Raw genomic sequence first — 19,296 nt, 5'->3', positions numbered from 1 at the left:
TCACCTCAGCCTCCTGAGTATCTGGAATTACAGGCATGTGCCACCACACCTGTCTAATTTTTGTATTTTTTTAGTAGAGACAGGGTTTCTCCATGTTGGCCAGGCTGGTCTCGAACTCCTGACCTCAGGTGATCCACCTGCCTCGGCCTCCCAAAGTGCTGGGAGGGGTTTATATTCTTATGAGGTTAAATTCATAACCCCAGTGTTGGCCACAACAAGCTATATTCTCAATCACGTTTTCACTTACCTATACCTCTGTCACATGAGATTGCCTACTTCTCTTCAAATAGTACCTGCTGTTTCTAGCCTTTTGCATATACTCACAACCCAGTGCTCATTCAGGAAAGGTTTACTCCTAAGTGATATCCTTACTCAAATCGAACCTTTCCACATTTCTAGATTATTGGAATCAGAATGAATTTCTTCTCTTTTTGTAACCAAGCCTGCGTTATAAAAATTTTAAGGTGTTTGTTTTATTTACCTTCCTTTCTCTTTTTCCTTTTCCCCCTCCACACACGCTTATTGCTCATAGTCATTTCTATAGAGGGGAGTCACTAGTAATTGATTAACTTCATACACTAACCCCGGAGGGCTGCCCGCAAGATTAATGAACTTGTTTTTCTTTTAAAGAAAAATGATCCTTAGGTCATGCAGACCTCCTTGATGGCATCCAGGAGTTTGATCAGGCTGAGGGAAGAAAACATCTTTGATCATCTGGGGATCTCACCTCCCGCATACCTACCTTACTCATAAAAGCTAAGCTCCCAGTTATGTTCAAAGGCAGGTTGAATTTGTGATATTTGTCTCTCCGACTTTCTTGCTTTGGAAAAATCAAATACGTCTCTGCTCCTAAGTGCTGATGTGTCAGTGTTTGGCTTACTATGCATTGGGTATGCAAAACTGGATTTTGGGATTCTACAACATTTTTATATTTATAATATGCAATAACGATCTTTTAACCCTCCTTGCATTCTCTTTAGCAGGAGATTTCTTTTGGTATTATTTTCCTCTGTCCAGATAATAAGGGGTGTGTGTGTGTGTGTGTGTGTGTGTGTGTGTGTGTTCCTATTTATTATTTTCATGTTTAGAAAAGTTCAAACTTTCTCTTTGAAGGTTCAGGTCTAAGTCTATTGAGATGAATTGACAATAGATAGATTAAAAGAAAAAAATGTATAAAAAATACAGATTTTATCATGTGCGTCAGCACAGAAGCCATGTGCTATGTATGAGGCTCAGAGGTGGAGCCAGGTGGTTAAAATGTTTCTATCATCCTGAGGCTACAGAAAGAACAGGAGATTGGGGTTTCCCAGGGGGAGGTGGCATCACAGGTTCTGGAAGAGTGAGGGGAGGAAGGCATGCCAAGCAAAGGCTGTCTTGTTATGCAGATGAAAACCTCTCAGGTAATCTTCGAGCTGCCAGGAGAAAGGATAAACAGTAGGCTGTAGTTAAAGTTTCTCTCTCAGACATTTAAAAGTGTCAGACTATTAGGTCTCCTTTTCCCGTGAGTTAATCTTTCCTAGATCTAGACAAGGCAGATAAGGGGAGTCTCAGAGAAAGCCTGTTTGCATCTGTTCTTTACTTCACTAATGTAGATTTCCTCTACAGATGAAAATCCCTCCCACAAAAAGACAGCTTTTCAGAGCTATTCTACTGTCTGTAGCCCCTTTGAATAGCCGTCTTGAAATATGCCAAAGAAGTAGATTTTGGGGCAAAGTATTCCAGTTTCCTCTCACATGGAGGGTTGAACATTTCATACATATCTGTAAAAAATTGCTGTCTAAATGCTAAAAAATTGAGGACCTCTGTTTAAATCTTTAGTAGCAAATATATATATATTTTTTATCTTCTAACCTGTTGCACAGAGAATCATACTTACTACTTATTTTATATCTACTTCCTTAAACCTGTCTTGAAATGGCCACAGAACAGTGAAAACAGTGAGGTTTGCAAATTGTATTAGGATAAGACCATTACCCTTGGCTTTTCCTAGTTCAGTTCCATCCTGTAAATAGCAAGCAGAAACATTTCTGATAAAGATGGAATTTTAAAGTGTCTGTTTCTAATATCACCAAAACTTTTGTAGTGACTAGTCTTCATGAAGACCTGTTTCCAATAGCAAGCTTCATTTCATCCCACACGAGGTGCCTCCCTTCTGTGGAATTCTCTCTCAAAGAGGCAATTCCTCATTTTGCTTGTGAGACTCAGTCACTGGCTATTGGAATCTAACCTGAAATTCTTGATGGATAGATCCTGTCCTCCAAAATCTGGGGCATATCTGAGTTTGCTCTGGAAAATTTTCACTGCTTTGGTGCACTCAAAGTATAACAGATACAAGAATTAAGAATTAAGCATGTAACCTCTTCCGCTGGATCTCTGGTTCTTTTCAGGCTTGTAGTAGAATCTGTAACCCACATTAAGATAGTAATATCTGCAGCTAACAAGACAAAGATTTTGCAGCTTCAGCTGTAGTTGAGATTCTTGGGAGCTATGACAAAGATACTATGAACAATATTTTTTAAAAGCCCTAAAATAAAACTGCCTTTTGTTGTTGTTAATTTTTAAAGAAGGTCAAACCAATATAATAAAAGACACAAAATCTACAAGCATAAAAACACAAGCACACACACACCCATGACTTCATCTTAACATTCCTCGTTTATCCTCTACTGAGCTGACAAAATAAAGAGGACAGTCCCAGGATGGTTACTGCCACATCCATCCTAGTTTGTACCTGGGAGAAGCTGCCTGGCAATTGATATACTTTTTCTTGGTGTTCACTCCCTATAGACTTTAAGGAAGACTCCCAAGGCTCTGTAAACCTTTCTTTTATATTTGAAGAATGCTTCTGTGAGGAAGTCTATAGGCTCATATATATTAGGGTAGGAAAGGCTCTACATGTCGTTAAGCCAACCCTCATTTTGCAGAGGTGAAAACTGGAGGTCAGTGACAAGAGGGATTTGTTCAAGGTCACCCAACAAGGTCATGACTACCTCTGTCTGGTCTTCCAACACTAAGCCTGCTGTTATTCTGCCATTTCAATGTCTACATTTCCAGAAAATTAGGAACCATGATTGCCTTAAATATTAGTACTGTGGTCTTTCTAAGGAGCCTAGTGGTCTTTTACTTTATACTGTTTCCTGGTTGTACAAATCACAGGATAAGAAGTCTGAGCAGGTTCCTAAATCTATCTGATGTTTATTTCTCTGTTGTTCCTCAAAAATATTTAATTTGGGTTCCATTCCCTTAGGACTTTATCAGGTAACCACTTACTTATCCGGTCTGCAATACCCCTCACATCTCAATGACAGTGTGTCAAATCATCTCTCTAACAAAGCCCTACAGAGACTGTTTCTTAATTCCAAGTTTTAACATCTATTAATGTGAGAGTTTTGAGCTGGCAACTTTTCTTTTTTCTACTTTAATCACCCTTGGTCTATTACCATCATATAATTACTAAGTCCCTCCTATATATTAAGCCTAGGGATAATGTAGTGGACAAGAGAGCTATAATTCTTACCTGCTGGGAGTTTATATTCTAGTGAAGGGAATGGGAAATGAGATCGGGGTGTGTTACATTAGCCAAAAATATTAGGGAAGGCTCCTGGTTATGGCGACGCATTTCATTAGCAATCTGAAGAAGGATCACAAAAGAGGCAGCCTCATAACAGTCTGAAAGAAGAACATTCTGGAAAGGAAAAACAGTGTCAACATCTTCAGCTGGGAGTATGTTGGGTTCCTGAAACACAGAAGGAAGGCTAGTCATACAGGGACATAGAGCAGTAAGGGATGAGGGTGCCGTGGGAGGCAGAGGCTGGATGGCGGAAGAATTTTAAGCCTAGTTAGAGATTTAGATTAAATTCTTATTGCAATGAGCAGACACTCATTTCAAACAGAAGAGTTGAATATGCTTTTAAAAGATCACTGTGGTTACTGTGGTGAAATCAGCCACTAAGGAAAAAAGTGAAAGCAGAGAATTTATTTAGAAGCCTAGCAATCCATTGAGGCATGTCAGTGCCTTAGTCTGGGTTTGTATCCACAGAAGTGGAAAGAAGTGGACTGGGTCTTTATGCAGTCTAGAGAGAATCAATTGCTAAACTTGTATGCTTAGGATGGATATTGCAATTTACTGATATAGGAAAGATGTGCACTATAATAATCCAGATCATTATTTTTTCACCCTGTCCGCAGATATACATGTAACAAATTCGTATTGCATAAGCCACTGCAGATAGTAAAATCATTGTTTATCTAGAGTTCACTGGTTGTTCATGAAAATTATTTTTAAAAAAGACACCACTCATTAAGCTTTCACTATATGTAATCATTGTGCTAAGCATCTGGTGTGGGGTGCACTTTCTAGTTACTGCCTTTTATCCGCTAAGAATCCATTTCTTCCCTCTTTCTAGTAAGTTCCTGATTATAACCAGGAGTGGACACAGGGCCTCAGTGAGACAACCTGAAGTCCTTTCTTGGCATTTGTAATGCTAGAGTTCACAGGGAGAATGAATTCTTTGTTGTTTTGAAAGCCCCTCCCTTCACATATACAAAGACTGAGGAAATAAAGCTGACATTTATTAAAATGTGGAAATTAGGAGCTCAGGAAAATGGTGCTGCTGGAGTTGAGTTCAGAAATACCTGAAGACTCAGCTGGGAGTGGTGGCTTACACCTGTAATCCCAGCACGTTAGAAGGTTGAAGAGGGAAGATCACTTGAAGCCAGAAGTTCAAGACCAGACTCGACTACATAGCAAGACTCCGTCTCTAAATTAAAAATAAAAAGTATAAGCAAGCATGGAGGTGTGCACCTGTATTCTCACCTACTTGGGAGGCTGAGGTAGGAGGATTGCTTAAGCCCAGGAGTTCGAGGCTGTGGTGAGCTACCATTGCGTCACTATACTTCAGCTTGGGCTGCAGAGCTAGACCCCATCTCTCTGGGGGAAACAATATACCTAAAAACCCAGGAGTGTCCTGGAATCCTTGAATCCTTTCTTTGATCTGAGAGCTTTCCCAGTTTCATTTCCCTAGCCAAAGCCACCTTCTCCATCTGCTTTTTTTTTTTTTTTTCTTCCTTGTGTAAGATGATTCAAGTTGTCTTTCTATGGCAGCTGAAAGAGGTGGGACAAATATATCTCAATTCACCCTGTGGCAACTGGTTCAATAGGAATTATCCAAATTCGCAAAACAAGAAACAAAATTTAAAAGGCTAAGTAAGTTATCTCAGATTTGTATAGTTAATCTAATCTAACATTTACATGGTGAGCCATGTTCAAAATTTTGTGTTGCTCTGTGATTAGAGTTCATGCTGCCAATACCTGCACAATATTATACCCCATATGCTAGGGGAAAGATGCATGTGTGTGTATAGTGGTCAAACAAAACTCTGATAGACATAGTTCTTGTCTTCAAGGATAAAGCATGTATATAATAATAAAGGGAACATGAAATAATTGTTACAATAGAGAACAGTGAGAGTGAAGAGGAAGGATGATTAATTTTGATCAGGAGATCAAGGGAAGGTCTTTGAACTAGATCTTGAAAGAAACATAGGCCATTTGTTATGACTTCTGTGTCTATGCAAATCACCTATTATATAGTTGCTTTGATTTATCTCATAAACTCATCCATTCTTTATGGTTCAAATAAAGATTTTTCTGCCAAATATGTTTTTTATATAATATGGCCTATTCACTTGAATCTAAATGTTGTGTCTGTATATCCCTATTGAAACTCTAGCTAGCAGCTACCCAGTTCAGTGGATCCATGGAAACAAGTGAAAGAAAAGCCTACTTTAATTCAAGAACAAATTAAACTGATAACCATCAAAGCTGTGCTTTATTCTATACTGGGAGTTGAAATCTCAGTCCCTATAGACCTTCACAGATATTTTCCCACAGCCAATTCTTTGTTTTAGCTTCCATTACTAACTAAAATTTTTTCTTTGCTTTATTTTGGATTATCTTTCTCTCTCCCATCCCTTTCCCATATCATGCTAATAATTTTGACTTATCTGAAAATTGCCCGTAGATAGCACTACTTCTGTTCATGTATACTATTATTTTCTGCTGAAGAGGGAGAGAAGGGTTCATGAATGAGACTTACCTGGATTTTTTTTTTTAATTCCACACTTGACAGTTTACAGTTTTTTCCAGCGTTCCCCTTACAGGTGATTGTTTGTTTTTGCATTTCATAGTAATTGATGATAAATCTTCTTGGAAGAGCCTACACATTTTATATTGTCTGTGGCTTCCTGGTAACACTGTTTTTGTACATAAGTTTCCAATTCTCCTGAGAGGAAGTAATGTCAGGATATGAACTGCTTCTGGACTTTCTGAAAGACCACTACCTGGAAAAGAAGAGTGCATACATTCCATATCCTGATTTATCTTCTCTCCACATTCCATCTGGCTTTTTGCTACCCTTCCTCTTCTCAGCCTCTCCCAGATTTGAACTCCCTCCATCCTTTTATTCTCATTTCGTATAATGTCACATTATTATATAAAATAAGTATTCTCCTCTTTTTCACATTAAGCCAAACTGAAAGACACTTTGAAGACAGGCTCCTAATAAGAATTAAAAAAAGGATATCAAATGGCACCCAGAATTTCCCCTAATGCTTTGCCTATCACACTTTCATTTTGTTATCAATTTAACACAAAACACATGCACAACTAGGCTGTGCTAAAGTTTCATTAATAATACTAGGGGGTTGTGAGTTGGCCTAAAAAAGTTAACGTGCCTTCCAGTGTTTCTTAGCTTTCTTACTTTCTCTGCTGATTGCACAAAAAAATCCAGCCATTTTTATAGCTCTATATCATTGCAAGGAAATAGAAAATAATGGAAACTGGGTTACTCTGGTTTCTTTTTAATGCATAATTACAACCTAACCCTTCTAGCAATTATTTACAAATCCTTCAGAAACGATTCTGAATCTTATTATCAAATTATTCACAAATCTTACTGCAACTGACCAATCTTCATAAGTTTAGCCCTCATTTGCCATGACGGCCTTGACATGAATGCCGCTTCTTTGTCAGTGGGTAGAAAACAAACACTCTCTAAAAAATAATTCACTTATAAATTCCACATAAAAAATTTATTTGGTAATCAAACACAGAGGGAATGTAAAGAAAGACACTCACATACCAGAGTTAGCTTTGCATTTCTCCTCCTCCTGGCTCATTCCACTCAGTATTTAACAATGCCTACTATCCATATTATGCCACCAAGAACTTCCTGATCACCCCACCTAGATGGGTTCAATTTCCTTCTTTTGAATATCTGCTAGATCCTGTAAATACCTCAAAAATAGAACCTGGCAGGATGACATTCTCTATTTAAACATCTTTCTCTTCCGAAGATAATATAAGTATTAGAGGGGAGGAATTGGGTTTTATCTATTCATTTTGAGGTAAGTTGCTGACTTGAACTTGCTTATTAATTTCTCACACGATGTTTGTGTTATTAATTCCATTTTAAAGAGAAGGAAATTAAACTTTGAGATTCAACTCAGTCAGAGTCTACAAGGTGGTAACAGCAGGAATAAAATATGGACCTAGGGCTGTCTGACTTCAAAGTCTACACATCATCTACACAGTGTTCCATCTATCAGAAATCAGAAGGATATTGCTACTCTGGGCTGTGTCTGACCTGAAGAAATGAGTTGTTAAAAATAAACCTAGATATCTGATAAAATATTTGAATCTAGCATTTATGGAACTCTAACCATTCTATAACTTAAAAATACAAAGTATCAAATTTTAAAGTTGGCAAAGATTTTGAGTAGACATTTCACCAAAAACAATGTGAGTGGTAATAAACATATGAAACGTCATTTGTTGTTTAAAAATGCAAATGAAAACAAGATATCATTTACATCCACTAGAATATTAAAATCAGAAAGAGGAAATAACAAGTGTTGATGGGGAAGCAGAAAAACTGGAACCATCATACCTTGCTGTTCCTGGGAATGTAACGTGATACAGTCACTTTGGAAAACAGTTTGGCAATTTCTGAAAAAAATACGCATAAATTTAGCAGATCACACATTTTTAAGAATCTGTATAAAATAAATAAATGAAAAAATATATTGTTCACATAAAGACTTGTTACTGAATGTTCACAGTAGTGGCATTATTCATAAAAGCTCCAAACTAGAAACAATACAAATGTCCATGACTGGTGAATAAATAAAATATGGTATATCCATATAACAAAATACTATTTTAATATTGGAGAGAACAAAATACTGATAATGTTTCAACATGAATGGACCTAAAAAACAATATTCTAAATGAAAGAAGGCAGATGCAATAGTTGATATGTTATATGATTGCACTTACATGAAATGTTTATAAGAGTCAAATTTATAGAAACCAAAAGGAGATGAGTAGTTGTTTGAGACTAGATTGTCTAAAAACAGGTACAAAGGAGTTTTCCAGTGTAATGAAAACACTCTAAAACTGGATGGCACAGTATATTATTAAATCATGTGCTTACCATGGTGAATGTTATGGTATATAAATTATGCTTCAATAAAGCTTTAATATAAATAAGTAGAATTTTGGATAATCTACTTTTTATGAACCTTTTTCAACATAATTCTGCACATTTTTAGTATTAAATCTACAGAAGTCCTTCCCAGCAAAACCATTGAATTTACTCAGCTTGCAAACCTATGTCTAATTACTGTTATACCCAGAATTAGGCAAACTCTTTCTGTAAAGGGGCAAGTAATTAATATTTTAGGCTTTGTGGGTCAATGTCTCTGTTGAAACTACTGAATTCTGTTATTGTAGAGTAAAAGCAGCCACACATAGTACATAAATGAGCAGGTGTCCACTGTGTACCAATAAATCTTTATCTACAAGAACAGGCAGTGAGCAGGATTTGTTCCATGAGCCATCTACAGTTAACACCTGCTATAGATGAGTAATCTCTGACCTTGTAGTAAGACCTGAACTTCCAGATTTCAGAGACATACCCAGGTAGTCTAATTCCAGAGGCCACATTTTCTTAACCACTATGCTCTACTGTCTCCAATCATAAATTGATACCAAAATGTATTTGAACAACAAACTGGTTTCTGGTTTGTTCCTCTCGGGTTAAGATGAGTTCCTTCATTCAAGAAGCTGAAAAGACACAGGCAGCCTACTGTGATATCTGCAAATTCAAATTGTGTGCTATTTTCACTTGAAACTTACAGCACTTGACACATTTAACATTTTAGTTAACCGAGCTTTGTTCCTAATTAAAGCAGTTTTAAATTCTCTGTTAAAAGGAACATTAAGTTGAATTTTTAAAATTGTGATTTCAGTTGTTAGTTAGAATTGAACTCTCTTCAACATCTTTAAATCAATCTTTCCTGTGACTGTTTCTGTTGTATTATACCTTAATGCCAAACACTCTTCATCTGCGGGTATATGTTATATATAATATATTACAAAACAGTTATTTATTTTGCTAGTTCCAGGATGAATTAAATTCAAGAACACCACTGAAATGCCGATTTATTCATTTTGTTTACCAAATGTAATCGGGGCAGATACTTTGCAAGTCACAGAGGAAGTGACGCATTTCTAATTCAACAAGTTAATCCTGATTTGAGGGATTTGAGGAGAAAGGAAGGAACTGTTTAATGCACTGTATTAGTAAGACAAGCATCCATGAAAATAAAAGGCTTTAAAAATAGTTTAAACACAATATTAAAATAAAAAGCAGAGAGAATTATTTCAGAGGATGTTAGAACCAAAGTAGGAGCTCATAGGGTATAATTCTGATCCATGCTTTTTGTTAGTACTGAAGCCTCCTGCCCCATTATGATTAGTTCGAGACTGGAGTAACTCTGTGCTCACAGGAGAAGCTCATTTGTGAATAATAAATTATGCTAATATTTTAATAATGGAAATTTATTGAATAGCCCCTATATGCCAGCTCAATTTTGCTAGAGAAGTGAAAGGGAAGTTGATAAAACAGGGACTAATCTCTTCAGTCATCTGTAAGCTTCCATCATTTGCTTCGAAAAGTTGTTTTGAATGTAAATCACAACAGGCAGTCTGGTGTAATGGAAAATATGCTGCAATCACAGCCAGGAGGTTTGAGTTGTAATCTTCTAATCTTAAATATGCCAATTATCATTCCTAGCAATAATTACCAATAAAAGTATTTTATTTTTTAATATAAGACTTAGACTGAGTGACATCTAAAATTCTTCATCAATTTGTCATCCCAGGATTAGAATGTATATGTCATTTTTAACCAAGCTTCAAACATATGCTTTGACAGACTGTGTTGTTTTCTCCAGAAACACTTGGGATGCTCTATATAAGATGAAAAAGTTTCTTCAACTTTTCTTATCATATTGTTGTTCTGTGTACCCATAGGAAGAACCAACTCTTTATTGGCCATATTTAGAGTATCTTTAAAAATGTATAATCCCAGCCTTGCCTTTTCCCTTTCCTCACTAGAACTGATTGATAAATATGAGGGAATAAAATTTCATGTCTAAATATTAACCTTGGGAAAAGAATTCATCCTGCTAAATAATATCACGATGACTTTGGAAAAGAATTTTGATTGATCTATGGAAATATTAATAGTTATGAGCATTTATAACCATAGGAATTATTAATACTTATGAGTATTTATAACCATAGGTTGTAGTGAAATTATCATGCTTAGGAAAGATATGTTGTTTCAAAATAGATTAATACAGAACAGAAAGAGCCTTAGTACATTGTCTTAGTGTTCCCTACAACAAAAATTTTCTCTTATGCATCTAGAATCTTAATTATAAAGAGTACAAAAATAAGATTTCTTATTAAGGACTACCTTGAATTATGTAATAAAGACCTTGTCTGTACCCCAAGTGACCCCATGCGAATTGCATTGAGCAATTAATTTAATAAAAGTTCAACCACCACAAAATGCTCCGCTGGCTCAGGGGATGTCAAAGTCACCATGACAGGATTCCCCCTCAACCACCCTATGTCATGCCATTATGATTAGACATCAGCAAAAAGAGAACATGTAAACTAGAACGTATGCAGGGTGATCTGGGGATGTGACATTTACCACACCTTTTCTTATAAATTCTCAAATCCCAATTTCCTGTTGTTCATTTTAGTCAAAAAATGTACCACATTGGCATTCCACTTACACATTTTTACGAAGAAAGCAGTGCTCTTTATTAAGGAAATGTCAACTATATTCATGCTAGTGTCAAGAGAAAAACTTCAGGTTCAATGACATTAGAGTCTTGTTATTGGCATGAGTGTCTTTGGAATCTATATCTCTTTTTGCTTTTCATTGAGAGGATTGGGCTCAGAATACAGAAAATGCTTGGGACAGGAGCACAGAAAGTGTAGGAGAAACAGAAACTAATACAACAGGTTTCATGAGTGGCTTACAAGTTGCTTTCCTTCTCATTTTCTTCTCTTTCTGCTAACTTTTTACTTGACAACATCAATAAAGTTCTGCAAATAGCCTTTCTTTGAACACTTTAAAAATTCTATTTCACAGCCCCTTCAATGAAGTACAGTTTCTATCTTTGTTTGCTCTATTATTATTATTATTATACACTAGCACAAGTCAAGATTTTTCCAGAACCTTGCCCCATAATCAAATTTCAGTAACTAAAGCCCCGTCATTCACACTCTTCCAGTTGTCCTCTTCTCAACAGACATATAGAGAACGCCATCAGTAGTAGGGCATTTATTTTATTTTTTCCTACACCTGTTTGCTGTTAATAAAGTTGCTATCTTTGGGGCCAAAATGCTTTCTTTTACTATATAAAGTAATATGTTCCTTCTACTCTTTTGTAAGAAACAAGCTAGAGAATTCTTTGTGGGATCAGACTTATTAAAGAGTTCTTAGTTAAAAAGAAAGAAACAAATTCCATTTCCCAAGTGGATTTTAGGCTAAGGCCATTTAATAAACTTACATCTGAAGTTTTGAATGTATTCAGAAGTAGGAGCTTGAGAAAATTAGAGACCTTTGTAAGTCTCTGTTAAGCATTGCCCAATTTGAAAGTGTCTTCTGAAAATGAATGAGTGGATGATTAAATAAATAAAACTAAAATTCAGAAAAGTAAATGTCTCCCAAACCCTAGTTCTATGAAAGTAAGCCAGCAGCACTTGATGAAGAGGTCACAAGAAGTATAAAGTGGTTTTGATCAAAAGGCCTTAATATTCCCCTAAGCTTGGCTAAATTTGAGACAAGCTTCTTCCTGACTTGAAGCTCCTGACCTCTCTTTTCTTAGAGCATTTAGTTTAGATAATTTTACATTGTAAATTATTTATCTGGTCGTTTGAGATGTAAATCTTCTCCCAGCCACCTGCCAGGTTTATAACCCAGGAATGCTTTTCCCAAGGACCTGGGCCCTTTCTTTGTGTGTGTGTGTGTGTGTGTGTGTGTGTGTGTGTGTGTGTGTGTGTTTCCGTAGGCTTTAGATTTTTTTTATTTTCATAGGTTTTTTGAGGAACAGGTGGTATTTGGTTACATGAGCAAGTTCTTTACTGGTGATTTGTGAGATTTTAGTGCACCTATCACCCGAGCAGTATACACCGAACCCGATTTATAGTCTTTTTTCCCTCATCCTCTTCACATCCCTTCCCCCTGAGTCCCCAGAGTCCACTGTGTAATCTTATGCCTTTGCGTTCTCATAGCTTAGCTCCCATTTATGGGTGAGAACATACTATGTTTGATTTTCCATTCCTGAGTTACTTCACTTAGAATAATAGTCTCCAATCTCATCTAGGTTGCTGCGAATGCCATTAATTCATTTCTTTTTATAGCTGAGTAGTATTCAATTATATATATATATATATATACTTGCACACACGTTTATAGCAGCACAATTCACAATTGTGAAGTGTCAAAAACATACTTGCACATGCATGTTTATAGCACCACAATTCACAATTACAAAATTCTGGAACCAACACAAATGCCCATCAATCAATGTGTGCATAAAGAAACTGTGATATATATAATATATATATATATAATTATCTCTTTTCCTCTGGGTGGATACCCAGTAGTGGGATTGCTGCATCAAATGGTAGTTCTACTTGTAGTTCTTTAAGCAATCTCCACACTGTTTCCATAGTGGTTGTACTAGTTTACATTCCCACCAGCGGTGTAGAAGTGTTTCCTGTTTACCACATCCACGTCAACATCTATTATTTTTTGATTTTTTGATTATGGCCCTTCTTGTAGGAGTAAGGTCGTATCGTATTGTTGTTTTGATTTGCATTCCCAGACCATTAGTGATGTTGAGCAGTTTTTCATATGTTTCTTCATCATTTGTTTATCTTCTTTTGAGAGTTGTCTGTTCATGTCCTTAGCCCAGTTTTTGATGGGATTGTTTCTTTTTCTTCTTGCTAATTTGTTTGAATTTGCTGTAGATTCTGGATGCTAGTCTTTTGTCAGATGTACAGATTGTGAAGATTTTCTCCCACTCTGTGGGTTGTCTGTTTACTCTGCTGACTGTTCCTTTTGCCATGCAAATCTCTTTAGTTTAATTAAGACCCAGCTATTTATCTTTGTTATTATTGCATTTGCTTTTGGGTTATTGGTCATGAAATCCTTGCCTGAGGCGATGTCTAGAAGGGTTTTTCTGATGTTATCTTCTAACATTTTTATAATTTCAGGTCCTACACTTAAGTGCTTGATCCATCTTGAGTTGATTTTTATATAGGTTCAGAGATGAGGATCCAGTTTCATTCTCCTACATATGGCTTGCAAATTATTCCAGCACCGTTTGTTGAATAGGGTGTCCTTTCCCCCAGTTTATGTTTCTGTTTCCTTTGTCAAAAATCACTTGGCTGTTAAGTATTTGGGTTTATTTCTGGGTTACCTATTCTGTTCAGCCCTTTCTCCTAGTATGTAGGAAAGTAGGACTCTAACTTTAATAAGCATCAATTAGCAAACACACAACTCTTCCAGTGCTTAAACACTTTCCCACTTTTTGGTTCAACTGAGTTGCATTCCATCTCTGTTTCCCATTGTAATAGTCCTGAATGAAGTCTTCTTTGTCTGCTTTAACTTATCTGGTGCAATTTTTTATTGACAGTTTCTGTGGTTTTGTTGCATTTCATTCTGCTTTGGTTTCTATTATTCCTTCCCGCCAACCTCACCCCATATGTATTCCATTTTTCACCTAACAGAAGAGATCCTGGAGAAACAGTCAGCATTAGGCTAGCTGAGCAAAATGAAAAATATTGGTGGTATGTTTTAAAAATAAAATAAAGAAATCTTCAATAATCCTGTTTCTGAAATACTCTTAATATATTAGAAAGCAAGGCTGCCTTTCCCTCTACCTATGTCTGATTAGCCATCTCCCGACCAAACATTTTTTCTCTACCTTTACGTTTCACCTAAAACATGTTATAAATTCTCAAATATCACTTTATAGTCATTTATTTCTTGAAGTGAAGGCATTGAATTCTTTTGTTAAAAATGTAACTGGTATTTTGATGACATAACCAGTCACCCTTCTTGCCAGTCTTCAATGTACAAGTTTAAATTAGTTTTATACTATCGGTTCTTAGGAAATGATTTATGAGACAAAAATAATTTGATCCTTCCGTCATCCAACTTTGGGAAATAATGGACATTAAAAGGGCTGATGTGGTTAGGATGTGTAAGAAGGAAAGATGCTGGTAAGCAGGATCTTAATTCTCCGAAAATATTCTAGAAGAGATTTTTGAAGGGATGATCATGGTAAGTATGTGAAAATATCTTCCTTAACCACAAGGAGTGGAGAATTTTGTCACTTAATGTTTTGACAGGCAAGATATATCAAATCTATGAGGAATGAGTTATTCTCGTGTTATTTAAATTGATCAATGGCATAGAAAAGAGAGTAAGCTCTTGTTTTCATCTAATAAGATTAGCATAGCCACATCTCAAATTTGATAAGGTAGCAGAAAAAGGAAAGCCACTGATATACCTCACTTATAAGAGATATAAAGAAAGTAAACAAAATTTAAATAGGCAGCATGTTTTAAAAAATGTACCAGGAATTAATTAATTCCAGATGTGCAAAGATGATTCAACTTCAGCAAAATTGTATTAATAACAATTTATTATGCTCATAGATTAAATTTTTTAAAAAGATTATCTTGATTTATAATGAAGGAACATTTTATTATGACTTTGATTGGTGATTACGGAAATATCTAAGGTTTGAATTGTGTATCTCAAAGTTCATGTGTTGGAAACTTAATCCCCAGTGCAACAGTTTTGGGAGGTAGGGCTCTAATAAGTGGTGGTTAGATCATAAGGCCTCCGCCTTCATGAAGGGATTAATGTCATCATTGTTGGAGAGAGTTAGTTATGGAGAGATTGGGCGTGTTATAAATACAAGTTTGACTCTCTCTTGCTGTCTTGTGGGCAATTGCCCTTCCTCCTTCTGCCATGGGATGACTTGGCAAGAAGACCCTCGCCAGATGCCAGCACCTTGAAATTAAACTTCAAAACATTCATAGCTATTAGAAATAGACTTATTTTCTTTATAAATTACCCAGTCTGCAGTATTCTGTTATAGCAACACAAAACAGATGAAGACAAGATATTTCTATTGAAAGACATCTTTTATCCAATTAGGAATGGAAGGATGCTTCCCTAAAATAATAGTGTGAGTGAACATAAACAACAGTGGACTTTCTTAACAGCACCACATTAGAGGCCCTCTCTCTTTCTCTCTCTCTCTCTCTCTCTCTTTTTTCCCCCTTTTTTTGACCCATTTCTCCCTGAGATAGGATCTGGAATTTCTTCACCTTAGAAGGTAGCCATTTAAAGGTTTTTGTTTGTTTGGTTTCTTCTCAAAATTTTTTCTTTTTCTCCAGAAGCGTGTTTCTCATGTAGACCCATTTGCAGAACTCCCTAAAATGTTGAATTTGATGTCAGATTCTTCCTTTTCCCCTCTTTTATTATTTGTTTGATTTTTCAGAGCACAGATGGATTTAATATATCAGGTATTTTTGACGACGTGTGAACTTTCAAATCCAACCCTCGGTCTTACAAGCCACTGGTTTCCCTTTCTTGCACTCATCACTAAGTTATATATTACTTAACAAAATGTCACTATGAAACCTATGATAGTACATTCTATCTTCTTATATATCAACTTTTCTAGTCCATAATTGTTCACCTTTTTCCTATAAAAATATTTTCTTTAACATCCACATAAAAATGTACTTTGTGTTTTAATGTACCAGTATAAATCAATCTTTATAATATTTCTGATATTCTCCTTACTATCAGTTTTTGATGCAGTACTTTATACATCTAATATTTAGGAATAATATATAGATTATTGTAATACTCATGATGAACCTAAAGCTCAATCCCTTAACTCAAGATATTTCCCATCCTCATGTTCCTAAAATGCACTGGACAAAGAAAATTACTTCTGTCATTGACATTTCAAAATCATTATAGAAAAACAAAACAAAATATTGCAGACAGAGAGAGAGAGAATGAAGGAAGGAACAAAGGAAGGGAGGAGGGAGAAGGAGGAAGAATGGAATGAAAGAGGGGAAAGATAAAATAAATTTGAAGTGTAAAAAGACATTCAATTGTCGTTATATAAAAATGCTATAACTATTTAATAAAATAGCAGAATATGAGTTAAAAATTATTAAAATAAGATAAATATACAAACACCAATAGTTTATTTCAGCCCTAAATTACTTGTTGTACAACACAATAGACATAAAAGGGTCTTTTCTCAATTCTTTTTCTTTCCTTTCCTTTTATTTATTTATTTCATAGATTGTCCTTTTTTAGGGTAGTCTTAGGTTTACAGAAAAATCAAGCATAAATTACAAGATTTTTCATATAATTCTCCCACATATTTGTCATAGTTTCTCCTATTATTAACATCTGGCATTAGTATGGTGCATGTTCCAATTAAAGGGCCAATATTAATAAATATTTATTAACTAAAACCCATAGTTTACATTAGGGTTCACTCTTGGTATTCTATATTCTATGGTTTTATACAAATGTACAATGACATGTATTTACCATTATAACAGCATATAGAATAGTTTCACTATTCTAAATACATCCTGAGCTCTATACCTATTCATTCCTACCTGCCCCTAACCCCTGAGAAGTAGTCATCTTTTTACTGCCTCTATAGTTGTGTGTTTCCCAGAATAGTAGGAATGACACAGTATGTGGCCTTTTAGATTGTTTTCTCTTTCTTAGCAAAAGAAAAAAAATTCTTATTTTTCTTTTTTCTTCATATTGCTTATTTCTTCATATTGCTAAATAATATTTCATTTTGTGGATGTACCACAGTTTTTAAAAATGCATTCCTCTATTGGATAACATCTCAGTTGCTTCTGTGTTTTGGTAATTATGAATAAAGCTGCTATAAACATTCAGGTGCAGATTTCTGTGTAGACATATTTTCAACTCATTTGGATAAATACCAAGGATCCTGTTATTTATTTCTTAATTATAAAATGTAAGTTATAGCTCTTATAGTGAATCAGTACAAACAAGTAGAAATCGAGGGTCTCCATAGAGATGTAGCAACTACAAAGCATTAATTGGATCTAGTACTGTGTGAAAGGTCAGATCTTTACTTTGATTAGATAAGAGAGTCTAGGAGAATAAGACGTAGTGACAAAATCAACCTGCTGAGATAGATTTCATTTAGTGAAAATTGCAATCACTATGCATCAGTGTATATTTCTTTAAAGCAACTATTTTGCTCTTAGCAACCTATCAGGCACTGGGGAGATTTAAATATTTTATGATCTAAGCACACCATAAAACTTGTCAGGAAATGCAGATCAAGGATGGTGCCTCTAATTCAACTGCAATCCTGATTTAACACTTTAGGAGTTGGGCATTTGGGAGTTTCTTCTCAAATGTTCTTAGGAGCTATTTCCCCCAAACTGTGACCAAATTAATGAGGGAAGGGTTCAGCCAAATTGACTTTGGCTTTTCTGATGTGATTTAAATTTTAATTTGTTGTTTATCACCGAAGAATACATTTTTATATGACTCTGGAAAACCAGCAGCTGTTGAATTTCTAGGGAAAGAAATGTTGCCTGGGATAATTATGGTTTACTCTTGTGTGGTCTCTATAGCATTAGACAATGTATATCAGATATGCTTTCTTATTTGGTATTATACAGGACTTTTGAATGTTTCTGTAGAATAAATTACTCGAACATCCCTATATACCTCCACTTTGTTAATAATTAATTTGTTTAAAACATTATGTGATCACTTTAGAAAGAGTACCTAGCACTCACAATTTACAAAAATAAAATACAAATCAGCTGTCATGACATCAACTAAAGATAACAATCTGGTATATATTGTTTGTTCAGAAAAGTGTTGAATTTAAATGTATACTCATATTTCCATATTCAGTTTTATTTTTACAAATTTAAATCAGATTGTGTTTTCCACTTTCATTTAATATTATGTAATGAACATATTCCCAAGTAATGAACTATTTTAAAAATACATAGTGTGATGTTTGCATAAGTATTCCATCATATGAATATATCACAATTTTTCCTACCAGTTTTCTAGTACCAGAATCTTAGGTAGTTGCAATAATGTATTGGAGTAAATAACAATCCAGGAATAGCCTTGTACTTGTTTTTCCGGGACCTCTAATTTCCTTAGTATAGTATTTAGAACTAGAGTATAGAGCTGTTGCTGTACAGTATCTACAATCAAACAATTTCTAATTCTCCACAGATCATAGGCTTTATGCTCCAAATTAAGAGGCTGATTGGACAGTGAGTAACATATTTGAACAAATAGACACAAATCTACTCCACAACTTCTTAGTTAAGGGGTGAGTTTTCGGGATTACATCCAAATTACCTGCTTATGCTGACATAATACATCGGAATATTGCCACATATCCACTCCTTTTCTGCTGCATAGGCCAATGAGAATAAACTGGAGCTTCATTTAGACTGGAGGTGAACAGATATGAGAATGCTTTGATGTGTGGATGCCAATTGCATCAGCGGTTATGACAACTAGAAAAGGGCCAAACTTAGCAGAATGATGCTCATCCAGATTTCACGTCACCTACATATTTCTTTGGGAACAACTGTCTATTTGTATCATTTTCAGAATTATTGATTTAGAATCCCTATTTCTGCCTATTTTCTCTCTAGTTATAAGGAAGATCACATAAATATTTCTAATCATTTCTAGCCCTATTCCATAGACTTCAGACCAGGCAATTAACTCTTGTGATTTGATATGTAGATACTTTACTTCTGTTTTCTATTAAAACATATTGGGA

Source organism: Homo sapiens, chromosome 3 (assembly GCF_000001405.40).
Source record: "Homo sapiens chromosome 3, GRCh38.p14 Primary Assembly".
Classification (NCBI taxonomy): Eukaryota; Metazoa; Chordata; class Mammalia; order Primates; family Hominidae; genus Homo; species Homo sapiens.
This window is presented reverse-complemented; position numbering follows the sequence as displayed.